Source organism: Homo sapiens, chromosome 1 (assembly GCF_000001405.40).
Source record: "Homo sapiens chromosome 1, GRCh38.p14 Primary Assembly".
NCBI classification, from domain to species: domain Eukaryota; kingdom Metazoa; phylum Chordata; class Mammalia; order Primates; family Hominidae; genus Homo; species Homo sapiens.
This window is the reverse complement of record NC_000001.11, coordinates 55,793,543-55,812,098: the sequence shown is the minus strand read 5'-3', so window position 1 is coordinate 55,812,098 and position 18,556 is coordinate 55,793,543. Positions and strand designations below refer to the sequence as shown.

General features: G+C 39.8%; 1 long non-coding RNA gene across 1 annotated transcript in view, besides 1 other annotated feature; it reads left to right on the top strand.

Annotated features, from left to right (window-relative positions):
• LOC105378740 (uncharacterized) overlaps positions 1-18,556 on the top strand; it is a 71,267-nt gene that overhangs the window by 42,829 nt on the left and 9,882 nt on the right. The window lies entirely within an intron of this gene.
• Positions 6,489-6,658: an enhancer, noted in NCBI's record as "experimental_8557 CRE fragment used in MPRA reporter constructs". NCBI's record gives its function as "activates a minimal promoter by MPRAs in K562 erythroleukemia cells, with activity observed for the non-introgressed 1:56271199 variant allele {active_cell/tissue: K562}" and the evidence as "EXISTENCE:reporter gene assay evidence [ECO:0000049][PMID:34662402]".

The window sequence follows — 18,556 nt, the reverse complement described above, 5'->3', positions numbered from 1 at the left end:
TCCAGAAGCAGGTGCCTCTGCCATTGGAAGTAAGGGAGGATAGACAATTGACAGGGATGCCCCATGAATTATTTGTGGGCAGGAGTAGAGGTGATGCATAAAAACCAAATGAAAGTCTTTTTTTTCTCATACATAAAGATTATTGGAGAGATTTGATAGGCATAGGAACCATAGTTGCTGGTCTGGTCAGGGTCCTTAGGCTGATGTGTCAGCCCCAGCACTTTAATTCAATTCCTATTCTTACAACGGGTTTACTCTTTGAAGCTAATTCTTGATATGGCTCCTCTGACCAATGCTCATAGCTTCTCTTATCTATACTCTATACTGATTTCCCTCCTTTGGGGTATATAACCAGCAGTAAGATTGCTAGATCACATGATAGTTAAACTTTTAGTTTTTTGAGGAGCCTCTAAACTGCTTTCCATAGTGGTTGTACTAACTTACATTCCACTAATAGTATACAAGGATTCCCTTTTCTACACATCCTCACCAGCATTTGTTACTGCCTTTCTTTTGGATATAAGCCATTGTAACTGGGGTGAGATGACATCTCATTATGGTTTTCATTTAAATTTCTCTAATCAATGATGTTGAGCACCTTTTTCTATGCCTGTTTGACATTTGTCTTTTGAGAAATGTCTAATTCAAATCTTTTGCCCATCTTCTGATCAGATTAGCTTTTTTTCTAGAGTTTGAATTCCTTATATATCTTGGTTATTAATCTCTTGTCAGAGTAGTAGTTTGCAACTATATTTTCTCATTCTGTGGGTTGTCTCTTTACTTTGATTGTATCATTTGCTATGCAGAAGCTTTTTAACTTAATGTGATCCCATTTGTCCATGTTTGCTTGGTTGTCTGTGCTTTGTGGGATAGTGCTCAAGAAGTCTTTGCCCTGACCAGTGTCCTGGAGATTTTCCCCAGTGTTTTCATAGTCTGTAGGAGTTTCATAGTCTGAGGTCTTAGATTTAAGTATGTAACCCATTTTGATTTGATTTTTGTATATGGTGAGAGATAGGGGTCTAGTTCCATTATTTTGCATATGGATATCCAGTTTTCCCAGCACCATTTATCGAAGAGACTGTCTTTTCCCCAGGATATATTCTTGGCACCTTTATCAAAAATGAGTTTACCATAGGTGTGTAGAATTGTTTCTGGGCTCTCTATTCCGATCCATTGGTCTATGTGTCTGTTTTTATGCCACTACCATGCTGTTTTGTTTACTAAACTCTGTGGTATAATTTTGAAGTCAAGTAATGCGGTTCCTCCAGTTTTGTCCTTTTTGCTTATGATAGCTTTGGCTATTCTGGGCCTTTTGTGATTCCACATAAATCTTAGGAATTTTTTTTCTTTTTTCATGAAGAATGTCATTGGTATTTTGATAGGGATTGAATTGAATCTGTAGATTGCTTTGGGAAGTATGGACATTTTAACTATTGATTCTTGAAATCCATGCACAGAGTATTTTGCCATTTTTTGTGTCCTCTTTAAATTTTCATCAGTGTTTCGTAGTTTTCATTATAGAGATTTTTCACTTATTTGGTTAACATAATTTCCAGGTATTTAATCTTATAAGTAGCTATAATAAATGCAATTGCTTTTTAAATTTTTTTTACATTGTTCACTGTTGGCATATAAAAATGCTACTGATTTTTGTATGTGGGTTTTTACATCTTGCAACTTTACTAGATTTATCAGTCATAATAGTTTTCTTGTGAAGTCTTTAGGTTTTTCATCAGCAAACAAGGATAATTTGACTTCTTCCTTTCCAATTTCGATGTCCTTTATGTCTTTCTCTTGTCTGATTGCTCTAGCTAGGACTTCTAGGAATATGTTGAATAACAGTGGTGACGGTGGACATCCTTGTTGTGTTCCAGATTTTAGAGAAAAGGCTTTCAGTTCTTCCCATTCAGTAGGATACTAGCTGTGGGTCTGTCATATGACTTTTATTATGTTGAGGTAGGTTCCTTCTATACCCAGTTTCTTTGGGGTTTTTATTATGAAGGGCTGTTAAATCTTATCAAATGCTTTTTCAGCATCAACTGGAATGGTTGTATGGTTTTTATCATTCTTTCTGTTGATATATATTTTATTTATTTTTGCATATCTTGAACCATCTTACATCCCAGAGATAAATCTCACATGGTCATGATGAATGGTCTTTCTAATGTATTGTTGAAATTGTTTGCTAATATATATTCTTAGGATTTTTGCATCAATATTCAACAGTTATTAGCCTGTAGTTTTCTTCTGTTGATGTGTATTTCTCTGGTTTTGGCACCACTAGCCTCATAGAATGAGTTTGGAAGTATTCTCCCCTCCTCTATTTCTTGGAATATGTTTGAGTAGAATTGATATTAGTTATTCTTTAAATGTTTGGTAGAATTCAGCAATAAGCCATCAGGTCCTGGGCTTTTCTTTACTGGAAGATGTTTTATTGCAGCTTTGATCTCGTTACTTGTTATTAGTCTGTTCAGGTTTTGAATTTCTTCCTGGTTCAATCTTGGTAGGTCATACATATCTAGGAATTCATCAACTTCTTCAGATTTTCCAATTTATTGGCAGATAGTTGCTCATGGCAGCCACTAATGATCCTTTGAATTTCTGTAGTATGAGTTGTAATGTCTCCTTTTTCATTTCTGATTTTATTTATTTAGATCTTCTTTTTTTCTTAGTCTGGCCAAAGGTTTGTTTTTATTTAACTTTTCAGAAAACCAACTTTTTATTTCATTGATCTTTTGTATTTTTTTCACTTATTTCTGCTCTAGTCTTTGTTTCTTCTAATTTTGGGTTTGGTTTGCTCTCGCTTTTCTCGTTCAGGATGTAACATTTAAAGTTTTTCCTCTTTTAGATGTAGGGACTTATAGCTATAAACTTCCCTCTGATTACTGCTTTTGCTGTATCCCACAGGTTTTGGCATGTTGTTTCCATTATCACTTGTTTTAGGAAGGTTTTCAGTTTCTTTAACTTCTTCATTGACCCACTTTTCATGAGAAACATTGTTTAATTTCTATGTATTTGTATAGTTTCCCAAATTCCTCTTGTTTTCAGTTTTATTTCATTGTGGTCAGATAAGATGCTTGATATTATTTCAATTTTCTGAATGTTTTGAGACTTGTTTTGTGACCTAACATATGGTCTATCCTTGAGAATGATCTGTGTGCTGAGGAAATGAATGTGTACTTTGCAGCTCTTGGATGAAATGTTTTGTAAATATCAGATCCATTTGGTCTATAATGCAGATTAAGTCTCTGATTTTCTGTCTGGAATATCTGTCTAATGCTGAAAGTACGGTGTTGAAGTCTCCCAGCTATTACTCTATTAAGGTCTATCTTTCTAGCTCTAATATTTCCCTTATATATCTAGGTACTCCCATTATTTTGAGTGCATATATATTTAAAATTGTTACATCCTTTTGCTGAATTGACCCCTTTATCATTATATAGTGACCTTCTTTGTCTCCTATAGTATTTGTCTTGAAATCTATTTTGTCTGATGTAAGGATAGTGACTCCTGGTTTTATTTTTGTTTTTGTCGGCATGAGATATTTTCTATCTTTTTAATTTCAAGCTATGTGTGTCTTTATAGGTGAAGTGGGTTTCTTGTAGGCAACAGATCAATGAGTCTTCTTTTTTCATCCATTTAGCCAGTCTGTCTCTTGACTGGAGAGTTTAGTTCACTTACATTCAATGTCATTATTGATAAAGACTCCTGTCATTTTGTTATTTTCTGGTTGTTCTATGGTATTTCTTTCCTTCCTGTCTCCCTCTAGTGAAGATGATTTTCTCTGATATAATTTAGTTTCTTCCTTATTTTTTTTTGTGTATCTGTTGCATGTTTTTTGGTTTGAGGTCGCCACAAGGCTGGCATAAACATGCAAGCAAAAAGAGAACTAAAAATGCATCTTAAGTTTGCCCCTCACTTTTGAACTTTTTGTTTTTGTTTGTACTTATTGTACTGTTTCTTGAAGTTGTTGTCATTATTATTTTTGATCAATTCATTAGTCTTTCTACTTAGGATAAGAGTAGTTTATACACAGTTAGTGTTTATAATATAGTGTTTTTCTGTGTACTTACTATTACCAGTAAGTTTTATACCTTCAGGTGATTATTTATTGTTCATTAATGTCTTTTTCTTTCTGACTGAAGTACTCCCTTTAGCATTTCTTTTTTTTTTTTTTTTTTTTTTTGAGACGGAGTCTCGCTCTGTCGCCCAGGCTGGAGTGCAGTGGCGGGATCTCAGCTCACTGCAAGCTCCGCCTCCCGGGTTCACGCCATTCTCCTGCCTCAGCCTCCCAAGTAGCTGGGACTACAGGCACCCGCCAATACGCCCGGCTAATTTTTTGTATTTTTAGTAGAGATGGGGTTTCACCGTTTTTAGCTGGGATGGTCTCGATCTCCTGACCTCGTGATCCGCCCGCCTCGGCCTCCCAAAGTGCTGGGATTACAGGCATGAGCCACCACGCCCGGCCTCCCTTTAGCATTTCTTATAGGATGGGTCTGGTATAGGATGATGAAATACCTTGGGTTTTATTAGTCTGGGAAAGTCTTTATTTCTCCATGTTTGAAGAATATTTTTGCGGATGTACTACTCTAGGGTAAAAGGTTTTTCCTTCAGCACTTTAGCTGGTGATTAATGCTGGCAGGACTGTTCTTTCCTTCAAGGCAGCTGGTTCTCTTCTGGCCCAGGGTGTGTCTCTAGAAATGTTGTCTGGGGGGCTAAGGCCTAGAAAAGGGGCCTCTTGACTCTGGTGCCCTATCATCCTTCTATGGCTGAGCTGGTATCCAAAGTACAAGATAAAGTCCTTCCCATTCTTCCTTCTCAAGTGGAAGGAAGGGGGTCTCTTTTGGAGCTGTGAGCTGTACAGCCTGGGATTAGGGAAGGGGTGATGCTAGCACTCCCTCTACTGCCCCAGCTGGTGTCTCAGTAGGTAGTGTACCCCCGAGAACACTGTCTCTGGACCTAGTTCAGCTCTAGGACTTGCCTAGAGGTTGCAGTCATTATGGCCTAGACTGCCTTTCAAGATTACTTGAAGACCAAGACCACTTAGGACCTTGGTGGTAAGGTTTGTGGGAATTCAAGTTCAGACTGCTGGGATCGGGGATTCTCCTCTGGCTAGGGGTGGTTTAAATGCTTCCTTCATGGGTGTGGATCAGCTGAGTTTTGTCCAGGTTTCCTTTCTGCTCTAACAGAACATCACTGAGTTCATTGCCTCACAATTACTGTGTTCTCCCTCCCTCAGCAATTTATTTTGCTGTGTTCTCCCTCCCTCAGCACTGACAATCCACATAGGTGTTGCTGGGGCTAGGGGAGAGGTGGTGATGGTGATTTAGGACTGTTTCTCCAACTCTTCAGTGCCTCTTTCAGCAATATGAAATAAAACCAGGTACTCAGAGGGCTCAGCTGACCCTTGGTTCTTTATAAAGATGTCTTTTTCTGTGTAGAGAGCTGTTAACTTGGTGTCCTTGTGGGGCAGGGGATGTTTGGTGAAACTTTCTTTTTATTTATTTTTTTGTTTTGTTTTGTTTTGTTTTGAGATGGAGTCTCACTCAGTCACCCAGGCTGCAGTGCAGTGGTGTGCTCTCTGCTCACTGCAAGCTCTGCCTCCCAGGTTCATGCCATTCTCCTGCCTCAGACTCCTGAGTAGCTGGGACTACAGGCACCTGCCACCACGCTCGCCTAATTTTTTGTATTTTTAGTAGAGATGGGGTTTCATCGTGTTAGCCAGGATGGTCTCGATCTCCTAACCTCATGATCTGCCCACCTCGGCCTCCCAAAATGCTGGGATTACAGGTGTGAGCCACCGTGCCCGGCCAGAACTTTCTATTTCACCATCTTGCACTGCTTCCACCTGTGTTCTTTTTCCCTCTGAAAATAGCCACTCTATTTCCTAAGCCATGAACCTTAGTCATATTAGACTTTTCCTCTCCCTTCTGCTACATTCAAGTTTTACTAATTCTACCTCTTCCACCATTGCTCCCCAACCTTCATCCAGGCTGTCAAAATCTCATGCCTCAATTACTAAAGATGCTCCACCATGGCTTCCTGCCTATTTCACTCATCTGGAGTTAATCCTGATGAGCAACATGGAGACTTGGAGACTTGGAAGAATGTTTAGAGGACCTCCTGAGTGAGGCAATCAAGGCCCCACACCCCTGCTACCTTTTCTAAACTCATCTTCCATCAGGTGCCCCTGGGAACACTGCTTTCTCTATCCTGTTACAATTATCCACTTTTATGTGTGGTGATCCTTTCCTTTGGGGTGCCCTCAACCACCTCTACCCCATTTTTTCTACCTTGAGTCTCCTTTAAAGTATCATCTCTTCTGAGACTTTTCTTTATTTCCTTAATTGACACCAATGCTTTCCCCCACACCTCCCTATTCCGTTATAGCATTTATCACAGAATACTCTGATAACTGGTTTACATATTTTAAAAGGTAAGGGCCCAAACATATTTACTCCCTGTATCCCTATTGGATTAGTTGATGTCCAATTAATATAAGATATAGGATGTAGCCGGAACTTAATAAAAACTGAATCAATGAGTCTAACCTAAGCACTCTTGCCCTGGCTTCTATTCATTGGCTTAAATCCCTGAAACCATGTGAAAAGTATGTATATATTGTTTAGGATGTTGGGACTCTTTTATTTTTATTGAAACACCAATGTGATAGTCTATCTTTCATGTCCTTTGTAATCCCACGTTTCAGATAACAGATACCAAAAGAAACTCAGAGAACCAGATCCAGGACTCTTGGGATCCAGGGCAGATCAAGAGAATAAGAAAGGATAAGAATGTAGAGAAAACAAAGGATGTACGAAGAGAGCAGTTACTGTCTTGGAGATTCTACCTCCATCCAAAAGAGTCAGGGGAGGGTTGTGGGGGATGCTAATTGCTTCACTTTCAGCCTAATGTCAAGGAAGCTTCCATCGTACCATTGAAAGATGTGGGGAGACATAAGACTAATGCAGGGCTTGCTCTTGGGAAAGCTGAAGCTACCTGTGGTACAGGGACAGAGACTACTCTAAGGTCAATCTGCACCCCCCAGACTCTGTTGAGACTAGAGATATGGAAGAGTTTCCTGGGGCCAGAAGTAGGAGGGAGACTGATGCTCAAAGGTGGTATGAAACCTGCTGTATTAGTCTGTTCTCACGCTGCTAACAAAGACACACCCAAGGCTGGGTAATTCATAAAGGAAAGAGGTTTAATAGACTCACAGTTCCACATAGCTGGGAAGGCCTCACGATCACGGTGGAAGGCAAAGGAGAAGCAAAGGCTCATCTTACATGGTGGCAGGCAAGAGTTTGTGCAAGGCAACTCCCACTTACAAAACCATCAGATCTCATGAGGCTTATTCACTACCATGAGAACAGTATGGGAGAAACAACCCCCATGATTCAATTATCTCCACCTGGCCCTGCCTTGATGTGTGGGCATTATTACCATTCAAAGTGAGATTTGGGTGGGGACACAGCCAAACCATATCACCTGCCCAAGAGCTTCTGCCACAGGTCTAGAAAATTTGAGAGCAAGGATCTAAAATCTAGACCTTAAGAGGCTCCCAGAAGCCATGTAAAGAGAATGTTCCTGGCCCACATCACAAATACTGTAGACTCAGGTGGTGCCCAGCAAGAAGCTCCAAAGCTCCAAGGACAAGGAAAGGAGTCTACTCCAAACATCTTCCACAACTAGAACATAAGGCCAGCTCCAGTAAGAACTTTCCTATCACCTTACTTCCCTCCTTCCCTTTTTGAGCCTTCCAAACAAGCAGGCCCAAACTGAGAAAGAACACACTATAAATAAAGTTTGGAGTTAAGGTTAATATCTTGGATATTCTGACTTCTAAATGAAACCTATGCTTTAACATAAAGTGACTACAGGCATAATATTCAGGTGTGAAGGAATCTGTTAGGACTTACATCCTGGGAAATAGAATCTGTTAGGATTTACATCTATGTACAGGGGGAAAATGTCCCCAGTGATTTATACTGTAAAGGAATAGTGAGATAAAAACGAAGTTTTAATGTGGCTAAGACATAAGTTGCACTTATTCACTTCCTGAGGATCCATGGCTTCTTTAGATTTCCAAAGGGATCTGCGATGAGAGAAAAGGTTAAGAACCAACTTGTGTTCTTCACAGAGCAGGGGAATGAGCTGAAACATGTTTATGTGTAAAGACCTGAATAAATGTCTCCTGCTCCCAGCCTAGGTCTCTGAGACCAAAGCCTTAAAAGTTTTAAACATTAACTGGACATACAATTCTGCATCTAAGAAAATCAAATTTTTATGTACTTTCACCTTTCTCTCCCTATGAGCAATCTCAGGGCTGCAGACCAATTGGAAACACAGGGAAAAGGGGAGAAAAAAGATAGGGTCTGGTTTTCTCCTAGCAAAGCACACAAGGATCATGTGTCTCCATAATGAGACTCCAGTACTTGCTAAGCCATAGCCCCACTCACTGCCAACCACATACGTCTGCACATTTGATAGACTGCAGGCTTCGTTTGTACAGGAGTCCCTAATTAACCTTGACAGGGCCAGAAATCCCAAGGCTTTCAGGCTCAAGGAGGCAGGGGTTTCCTGAAGGGCTGGTCAACCCAGGGGAGTTGTGTCCTGTGCTTTAATGGCCTGGCTCATGGCTGGGGGTGGAAGCAGTTTGTAGATGAATTTCTCCTTGTAAGGATACAGAAGAGAAGTTTGAGGTCTCTGATAACCACCCTGCTTCTGGTGGTAGAAGCAGGAAGGATTATACTGAAGTGGAATGGGGTACAAACCTGGCTCCATAGATGACCATTTCACTCATTAATTGGAAGAGGAAAGATAATTGGTGGCAGAAAGTATCACAATGATCTTCTTCAAATAAATGAAGACTTTACATCATGGTTGTTTGCAGCTTCTCATGCTTATCTGTGGCACATTTGCCCCCAATCCTCACACCAACTCTAGCCTTTTCTCTTTTTGGTTGAGCATTACTTGCTTGTCTCCTAGTGAATCTTAGAAGTAGATAATTTATGGGTATAAAAATATGGATAAGACAATTATGGTTTCTGGCTTGTGGGTATGTGTGATATAATTATTTGCTGAATGTCTTTTCTTTCCTGTGGATAAATAAGCACTAAATAAAAGACATTGTGTTATAGATACCAAGACTGAAATATAATCCCTAACTTCTAGAAGCTGCAGCCTCTGGGGAGTTCAGACAAGTAAACAGATGAGTATAAGGCATGATGTGAATATATGGTGACATGGAAGCATGGGCAAAGTGCACCCAACCAGACAGGGTGATCAGGACAGCTTCTATAAGAAGGTGAGGTATGAATTAATGCCTAAAGGAGGGGTGAACATGAGCTAGGCCAATTGCAGGAAGAAAGGGTCACCAATGAAAAAGCACAAGCTAGGATACATCCCAGGAAAGAGCCAGATGTTCAGTGAGACTAGAGCAAATAATGAGTGAGAGGAGAGGCTGAAGATGTTGGGGCCCAGTCATCAGGAAGGGGCAGCCAGGTAATATGGGGCTTTGGTTGCATTCAAGCACACATTTCTATCTTCTTCTCTCTGCCTTCCCCTTTATCATAGGGATTGAAAGCCTAGGAACTACACTTCCCAAATTCCCTTGCCCCCAGAGTTTTGCATCAATTAGACGCACTCATGTGAGAGTTGGAAGGCAGAAACAAGGCAAAGGTCATATTCTCCAGCAGTTATAACAGATACAAGGGTTTCAGCAAATGAAAAAAAGGTTTTTGTGACAGACCTTGGGTTCCCATGATAGGAAGTTACAATTCCTTCTAGAGACTGTGGAGGAGTTGTGAAGCTAGTCAAGCTGAGCTAGAGACAGGAAGACAGAGTGAGGAGGCTACTACAGTTAAAATGAGGAGAAGGAGACCCTGAAATAAACAATGACTGTTGTAATGAGGCATAAAGGGCAAACGGAAGGGTCAAGGGTGCTAACAGCATGGAAATGTTTACAAAAACTGAAAAATGCTATTCATAGAATAAAATTAGTATTACATTAGCAAGAGCAGCATTTGATTATGCTTAGCTTGGAATTATCTCTTGCATCTAAGTCAAAAGGAGATTCTGGAGAAGTCTTTTGGAGGAAGTGAAATATATTTCCTTGGTTCTTGAGGAATGAGAATGCTGTAGATGATTCCCTTTGTCCTCCTTCCACCTTTAGCATCTATTATGCTTCTTCTTAACTAGACACTGCTGGATTCTTTCACATACTGTGAAAGCTTCCCCATAACCTATGTAAGTAGGCATTTTCAGCCACTTACAAGAGACATAATAGCTCTCCCAAGGTTACCTAGTTAGAAGACAAATCAAAACGGGATCTCTGGACTCCAAGCCAAATATGTACACTTTCCAGTTTTTCCATCCCATCACAAAAATATCATAAGATCTATGCAAGTTTATACCAAGTAGATCTGCTGGGGTGGATTGGAGGGAGGTGGAAGAGGGCGAAGAGGGTGGGGGCAGGGAAGTCTGTGTGCCTGTGGAGAAATTGTACTGATCTTGCAGAGCAATCTATTCCTCTCCCACAGCACCTTTGCCCTATCATATCTGAAGTTCCACACATAGGAATTTACTTCCTTAGGCTATCTACTTATATAAAGAGCTTAAACATCAATATTACAAAGGCCAGTGACATAACTTAACATGTAAAAATCATGAACAGAGTTTCCACTGGCCAAGCTTACCCAGAGCTGGAAGATAGACTGATGTCATCCCTACTGATCAATTTTTGGGATATAAGGCAGACAAAAGCTAGGTGGAAAGTGGATTTGGAAGAATGAATGGATGATACCTAGCAGTTCATTTAATCCTGCAGATTTCTCTGAAGAGTCCCTTCCTTAAACTCCTTAACTACCACTCTATATGTGCTAAAACAGGACAAATACATATATAAACATTTTTCATAAAACTTTTACTTCATGAAATGTCCTGAATCTGCTTTTATTTTTAAACTTTTAAAACTTTAATTGTGGTGAAATATATATAATGCAAAAGTGGTTAAAATGTTAAGTTTTTAAAGTTTCAACTGTTATAGATTAAAGGGTACACATGACAACTTGTTACATGAGTAAATTGTGTGACACTGAGGCTTGTGGTTCTAATGATCCCATCACCGAGGCAGTAAGCATAGTTCCCAACAGGTGGTTCTTCAGCACAAAACCCCGTTTGCCTTCCCCAACTAGTGGTCCCCAGTGTCTATTGTTCCCATCTTTATGTTCATGTGTATTCAATGTTTAGCTCCCACTTATAAGTGAGAACATGTAGTATTTCATTTTCTGTTCTTACATTTGGTCAACTTAGGATAATGGCCTCCAGCTCCATCCATATTGCTGCAGAAGACATGATTTCATTTTTTATGGCTGCATAGTATTCCAATGTGTATATGTACCACATTTTATTTATCCAATCCACTGTGATGGGCAACTAAGTTTGATTCCATGTCTTTGCTATTGTAAACAGTGCTGCAGTGAACATACGGGTGTGTGTGTCTTTTTGATAGAATGAATTATTTTCCTTTGGATATATGCCCAGTAGCAGGATTGCTGGGTCCAATGGTAGTTCTATTTTAAGTTCTTAAAAGAAATATCCAAATTGTTTTCCACAGTGGCTGAACTAGTTTTCATTCCTACCAACAGTTTATAAGCACTCCCTTTTCTCTGCAGCCTTGCCAGTGTTTTTTTAATCGCCATTCTGACTAGTGTGAGATAGTATCTCATTGTGGTTTTGATTTGCATTTCTCTGATTAGTTATGTTAAACACTTTTGTACACGTTTGTTGGATTCTATGTCTTCTACATCGATATACAAAAATCAACATTTATACACACAACGTTCTAGCTGAGAAACAATCAAGAACACAATCTCATTTACAATAGCCACAAAGAAAATGAAATACCTAGGCATTCATCTAACCAAGTTGGTGAAAGATCTCTACAAGGAGAACTACAAAACACTGCTGAAAAAAATCAGATGACGTAAATAAATGGAAAAATATTTCATGCTCACAGATTAGAAGAATTAATAGTTAAAATGGCCATGCTGTCCAAAGCAACTTACAGATTCAACAAAATCCCTATCAAAATATCAATGACGGTTTCCAGAGAATTAGAAAAACCAATCCTAAAATTCCCCTGGACTCAAAAACAGCTCAAATAGCCAAAGCAATCCTAAGCAGAAAGAACAAAGCCAGAGGCATCACATTGCCCAACTTCACACTATACTATAAAACTACAGTAATCAAAACAGCATGGTTCTTGTACAAAAGACACATAAACCAGTTGACCAGAATAGAGAACCTAGAAATAAACCCACATACTTACTGCCACCTGGTATTTGACAAAATCAAAAACAATGCAGGAAAGGACTCCCTATTTGGTAAATGGTTCTGGGAAAACTGGCTAGCCATATGACAAAGAATGAAACTGGACCCCTACCTCTCACTGTATACAAAAATCAACTTAAGATGGATCAGAGATTTAACACAAGACCTCAAACTATAAATCCTGGGAGAAAACCTAGGAAATGCCCTTCTCAACATAGGCTTTGGCAAAGAATTTATGACTATGTCCCCAAAAGCAATTGCAACAAAACAAAAATTGGCAAGTGGGACCTAATTAAAGACCTTCTGCACAGCAAAAAAAAAAAAAAAAAAAAAAAAATTCGTCCAGGCACAGTGGCTCACACCTTTAATCCCAGCACTTTGGGAGGCCAAGACAGGTAGATTACAATGACAGGAGTTTGAGACCAGCCTGACCAACATGGTGAAACCCTGTGTCTACTAAAAATACAAAAATTAGCTGGGCATGGTGGTACACACCTGTAATCCCAGCTACTCAGGAGGCTGAGGCAGGAGAATCACTTGAACCCAGGAGGCAGAGGTTACAGTAAGCCAAGAGCACGCCACTGCACTCCAGCCTGGGTGACAGAGCGAGACTCGATCTCAAAAAAAAAAAAAAAAAAAAAAAAAAAGAGAGAAAAGAAATTACCAACAGAGTAAACAGCCTACAAAATAGGAGAAAATATTCAAACTATGCATTTGACAAAGGTCTAATATCCAGAATCTACAAGGAACTTAAACAACAAACATCTAGTCAAAAATATGAGCAAAGGACATGAACAGATGCTTCTCAAAAGAAAATTTTAAGTATAGTGTTCAGTGACACTAAGTACATTTGCATTGTTCTACCATTGCCACCATTCATCCCTGGAACATTTTTCATATTGAAAGACTGAAACTCTGTACCTATTAAATTATAGCTGCCAGTTCCCTCTCCCTCCAGCCCATAGCATCCATTCTACTTTCTGAGTTTAACTACTCTACCTCATAAGTAAAATCATACAATTTTTTATCCTTTTCTGACTGTCTTATTTCACTTATCTCCAAAATACATTCAGATTGTAGCAAGTATCAATTTCCTACTTTCTTAAGGCTGAATAATATTATATACATACTTTTTTATTTGTTTACCTATCAACAAATACTTGGGTTGCTTCCACCTTTTGGCTATTGTGAATATGTTGCCATGACCATGGGTACACAAATATCTCTTCAAGACCATGCTTTTAATTCTTTTGGGCATATACCCATGAGTGGAATTGCTAGATCATATTACCTTTCTATTTTTTGAATATCCATACTGTTTCTCATAGTGGCTGTACCATTGACATTCCTACTAATAGTGCACATGGTTCCAGTTTTTCTAAACTCTTACCACTTGTTAACACTTAACACTTACTATTTGTCATTTTTTCATAGTAGTAATTCTAGAGGATATGAAATGGCATCTCATTGTGATTGATTTGCATTTCCCAGATTATAAGTGATGTTGAGCATCTTTTCATGTGCTTATTGGCCATTCATGAATCTTTAAGGAAATGTTTATTCAAGTCTTTGCCCATTTTTGAATAGGGTACTGAGATGTAAGAGCTCTTTATATATTCTACATATTAGCCCTTTATCAGATATGATTTTCAAATGTCTTCCCATGCCATGAGTTGCCTTTTTATTCTGACGATTAAGTCCTTTGGTGCTCGCAAGTTTTTAATTCTGATACAGTCCAATCTATCTTTATATTTGTTGCCTGTGTTTTTGGTGTTATATCCAATAAAACGTTACCTAATCCAGTGTTATGAAGCTTTTACCCTATGTTTTACAACTTTAGTTTCTGTGTTTAGGTCTTTGAGCCATTTTGGGTTAATTCTTACATATAGTGTAAGTATCCAAACTCAATTCTTCTGCATGCTGATATTCAATGTTCCTTCCTTCTTCTAGTTTTATTCCTTTGTGATTGGAAAAGATACCTTATATGTAAGAGATTTGTCTCAAACTTATTGAAGACTTATTTTGTGGCCTAACTTACTGTCTATTCTGGAGAATTAGAAAGTTCTATGTGTACCTGAGAAAAACGTACAACTTGCTTTTGGGTAGAATGTATATGTTGGTTAGGTCCAATTGGCCTACATGTTGTCCAAGTTTTCTATTATCTTACTGGTCTTCTGTATGATAGTTCTATTATCAAAAGTGAGATATTGACATCTCCTACTATAATTGTAAAGCTATTACTCCCTTCAATTCTGTCAATGTTTGCTTCATATATTTAAGAACTCTGATGTTTGGTACATTTGTTTAGAATTATTCTATCTTAATGAACTTCCCCTTTTATCATTGTTTAATGTTTTTGTCTTTTAGCAGTTTTTGACCATCGTACATTTTGTCTGGTATTAACATAGCCAATCTTGCTCTCTTCTGGTTACTACTTGCGTGTAATAACTTTCTATCTTCTAATTTTCAACCTATACTTGTATATCCTAAAGTGAATTTCATTTACACGGCATTTACTTGGATCCTGTTTGTCTCTTTAAAATTAATTCTGCCAATTTCTATCCTTTGGAGAATTTAATCTATTTACATTTAAAGTAATTACTTATAGAGAAGGACTTACTATTACCATTTTGGCATTTTTCCTGTATGTCTTATAGCTTTTTATAACCCTAATTTCTTCCTTTACTACCTGCCTTTGTGTTTACCTGAGTTTTGTAATTTTTTTTTTTTTTTGAGATAGGTTCTCCCTCTGTCACCCAGACTGAGGTACAGTGGCATGATCAGAGCTCACTGTAGCTTTGACCTCCTGGGCCCAAGCAACCCTCCCTACCTTAGACTCCTGAGTAGCTTGGACTACAGGTGTGACACCACACACAGCTCATGTTTTCTTACATTTTGTAGAGATGAAGTCTTACTATGTTGCCCAGGCTGGTCTTGGACTCCTAGACTCAAGCAATCCTCTTCCCTCAACTTCTCAAAGTGCTGGGAGTCCAGGCATGAGACACTGCTCCTGACCTTGATTTCTTTCTCACTTTCTTCTATATTCTATATACAGTTATTGTGGAGATTATGGTATATCTAACATCCTAAAGTTATAACAACATATTTTAAACTCAAACCAACTTAATTTTAATCACATACAAAAACTCTACTCCTTTACAACTCCTCATGCCTGTACTTTGTTATTGATATCACAAATTACATCTTTATATATTATATACCCATTAACATAAGATTAATAATCATTTATATTAGCATCTATTAAATTTGATAAAAGAATTGAAAATTGAGCTACAAACCCAAATTTTAATAATACAGGTTTTTGTTTCTCCATGTATTTACTTTTACTGAAGAACTTTGTATTTTCACATGGCTTTGAGGTACTGGCTAGTAGTGTCTTTTCATTTCAACTTAACCCTTTATCATTTCTTACAGGGCAGATCTAATGGTAATTGAATTCCTTTAGGTGCTTAGTGATATCTTACAGTGCCCTTAGAGTTGGTTCATTTTTCTTTTTTCTTTTTGCTCCTCAGACTTGATAATCTCAAATGACCTGTCTTCAAATCTACTAGTTCTCCTGCCTGTCTACTATTGAACAACTCCATGAATTTTTCAATTCAGTTACTGTGTTTTTAAGTTCCAGGGTTTTTTTTGGGGGGGGGGGTGTTTTTTTGGCCATTTTTTGTAACTTTAACTTTTTTGTTGCCATTCTGTTTGTTTATACATAGTTTTGTTTCCTTTAGTTGTCTGTCTCCTGTTAGCTCTTTGAGCATATTTAAGACAGTTATCTTAGTCTTTGTCAAGTAAGTTTAAACACTGTTTCTTTAGAGTCAGTTTCTAAAGATTTTTTTCTTGAAAGGTCTGTTTTCCTGTTTCTTTATATCCATTGTAGTCTTTTTTTGAAAATTGGGTATTTAGAACAAAAATAGCTATCTTTTCAACCTTTTTCACACTGGCTCTCTGTAGGGGAAGACCTTCACTGGTCAGCCAGCCTAGGGTGATGACTAAGTGTCTTCTCAGGTCTTTCCAGGGAATTTAACTTTCTTGGATCCGTGCGTGTGCTTTTCCTTCCTAATTCCCCATATCAATGGCTACTTTTAAATGTCTTCATTTCTGTAAGAGTCTCCTCTCTGCTTCTTCTCAAGGCCTTGAAAGTTCTACTGTATTTCTCTGCCCATAACCTCTGTCCCCCAAGAACCTACAGGTCTGCAGTCTCTGCACCAATCAGGTGCCGTGGCACTGACCACTGCTTTCACCCTCCAACCTCATATTCAAACTGTGCAAACTGTTCCCATGGGAGTTCCAAGTCAAGTAAGACAAATGGTTTCTTGGATAGTAGCCCCCACCCCCCTGCCCCCACCACCCCACCTGACAATCCAGAATGTTAAAAATAGTTTAATCTTCCTCTGTCCCAAGGGAGAAACTGGGAATTGGGTGGCTTCCTCCTTCTGACTGCTCTACCAGACCATGGAGGAACTAGGGCAAAAGTGAGCAAAATTTAACAATTTTCTACCATTTCAGTATGACTTTTTCTTGGTTGGGCATCCACTTTGTTTCTACAGATTCTCACCTGGTTTCTAGAGCTCACACAAAGCTGTTTCAGCCAACCTATTGTGCATTTGATGTTTTCAGGGGGAATGAGAGCCTAGAGCTTCATAGTCCACCATTTTGCTGGTGTCACTCATATAAGTAACATTTTGTCATAAACTTTTCAGCTATATGCAATTACACTAATTTCTATGAATACATTTTCTTATGATCATATTGTTATGGGATCTCTGGGGTGTCAATTTTCTGGCTGGAAACCTCTGACTTCTGTGGCCATGGCACTTTTGCCCGTGTTCTTGTCCTGCATCCAGAAAGAATGAGGTACACAGACAAGTGAAGGGTGAACAAGATGAAGATGAGCTTTATTGAGTGTTAATAGCTCGGAGGAGACCTGGAATGGGTAGCTCCTCTCTGTAGGAAGGTCATCCATTGAGTGTTCAGTTCTCAGCAGAGAAGAGGCCCTAGAGAGGGTAGCTCTTCTCTGCAACTGGTCTTCCTGATGTCTGCAGCTCTCAGCAGAACGGGTAGTTCCTCTCTGTAACTGGTTGTTCCCTCATCTCTAGCTATCAGCAGAGAGGGTAGGTCCTCTCTGTAGCTGATTGGCAGGTAGTCTCTCTGCCCTCTTCATCCTCTGGGCATCCTCTGCCCTGCTCTGGCTAAGCCCAGGGCTTTTATGGACCTCAAAGGGGAGGGAGTGTGTACCAATTGGCCCATGGCTGCCCATGAACAGGTTGGAAAAGGCACCACAAGTTCCCACTCTGGTCCGAGTTCCCACTCTGGTCCATGGAACTGGCAGCCAGGCCCCCAGCCTTCAGGCCCTCCCTGTCCTGAAGGTGGGGCCTTACTGGGGACCTACCCCCACTTCCACCCAGGAATCAATCTGCCTCCCACTGCCATTCATGACCCCAGGCCCCAACCCATTCCAAGATTGGAGCAGGTGTGGGAGAGGAGAGAAGCCAGGCAGCAGAAGCAGACATCCCTGAGCCAGCAAGGATGTAGGGAGGAAGGTTGTGTGGACCTTCCCAGGCCCTGGAGGATGTATGCTGCAAAGATGCCCAGGTCCTGCACCTGCTGTACCTGGGGCGCTCCCACCTCACAACTCAGAAGGAGTGGGTTTCCTGCTTCTCCCTGGCTCCTGCCAGCTCAGCGGAATGGGAGGCCCAGGTCTGCAGCCACAGGCCTGCCAACTGCAGCTGCACCCAGGAGGGGACATCCTGCCTGCTCCTGGACCCCTCCAGGAGCACAAGGAGGCTCACACCCACAGTTGCAGTTTGGGTGGCTGTAGCTCTGCCCAGGAGGGCGGGGCTCCTGCCGATTCCGTAGAGCAGGAAACCGGGGTCTGCAACCATGGTTTGAGCAGGCTCCTGCCCCAACTCAGAAGGGGCAGAGCTCCCACCAGCTCCACAGAGTGTGCATCCCCAGCCGCGCTTCCCTGCTGCAGCTGCACCTTCCTGCCGCAGCTGGCGTGATGGCAGCAGCCACTGCCATCAATATAATATACATCATTTGTATAACCCGTATTACAAACTGATCTGCTATTATGATTTAGTGTGGAAGAGAGTGCACTTTCTTTGAAGCTGAATAGATCTAGACCATACACTGTTTAAGGAAAAATACTAATAACAGAGCTAATTCTTTATCATACATATTTGTTTTTCAAATGCAAACACTAATT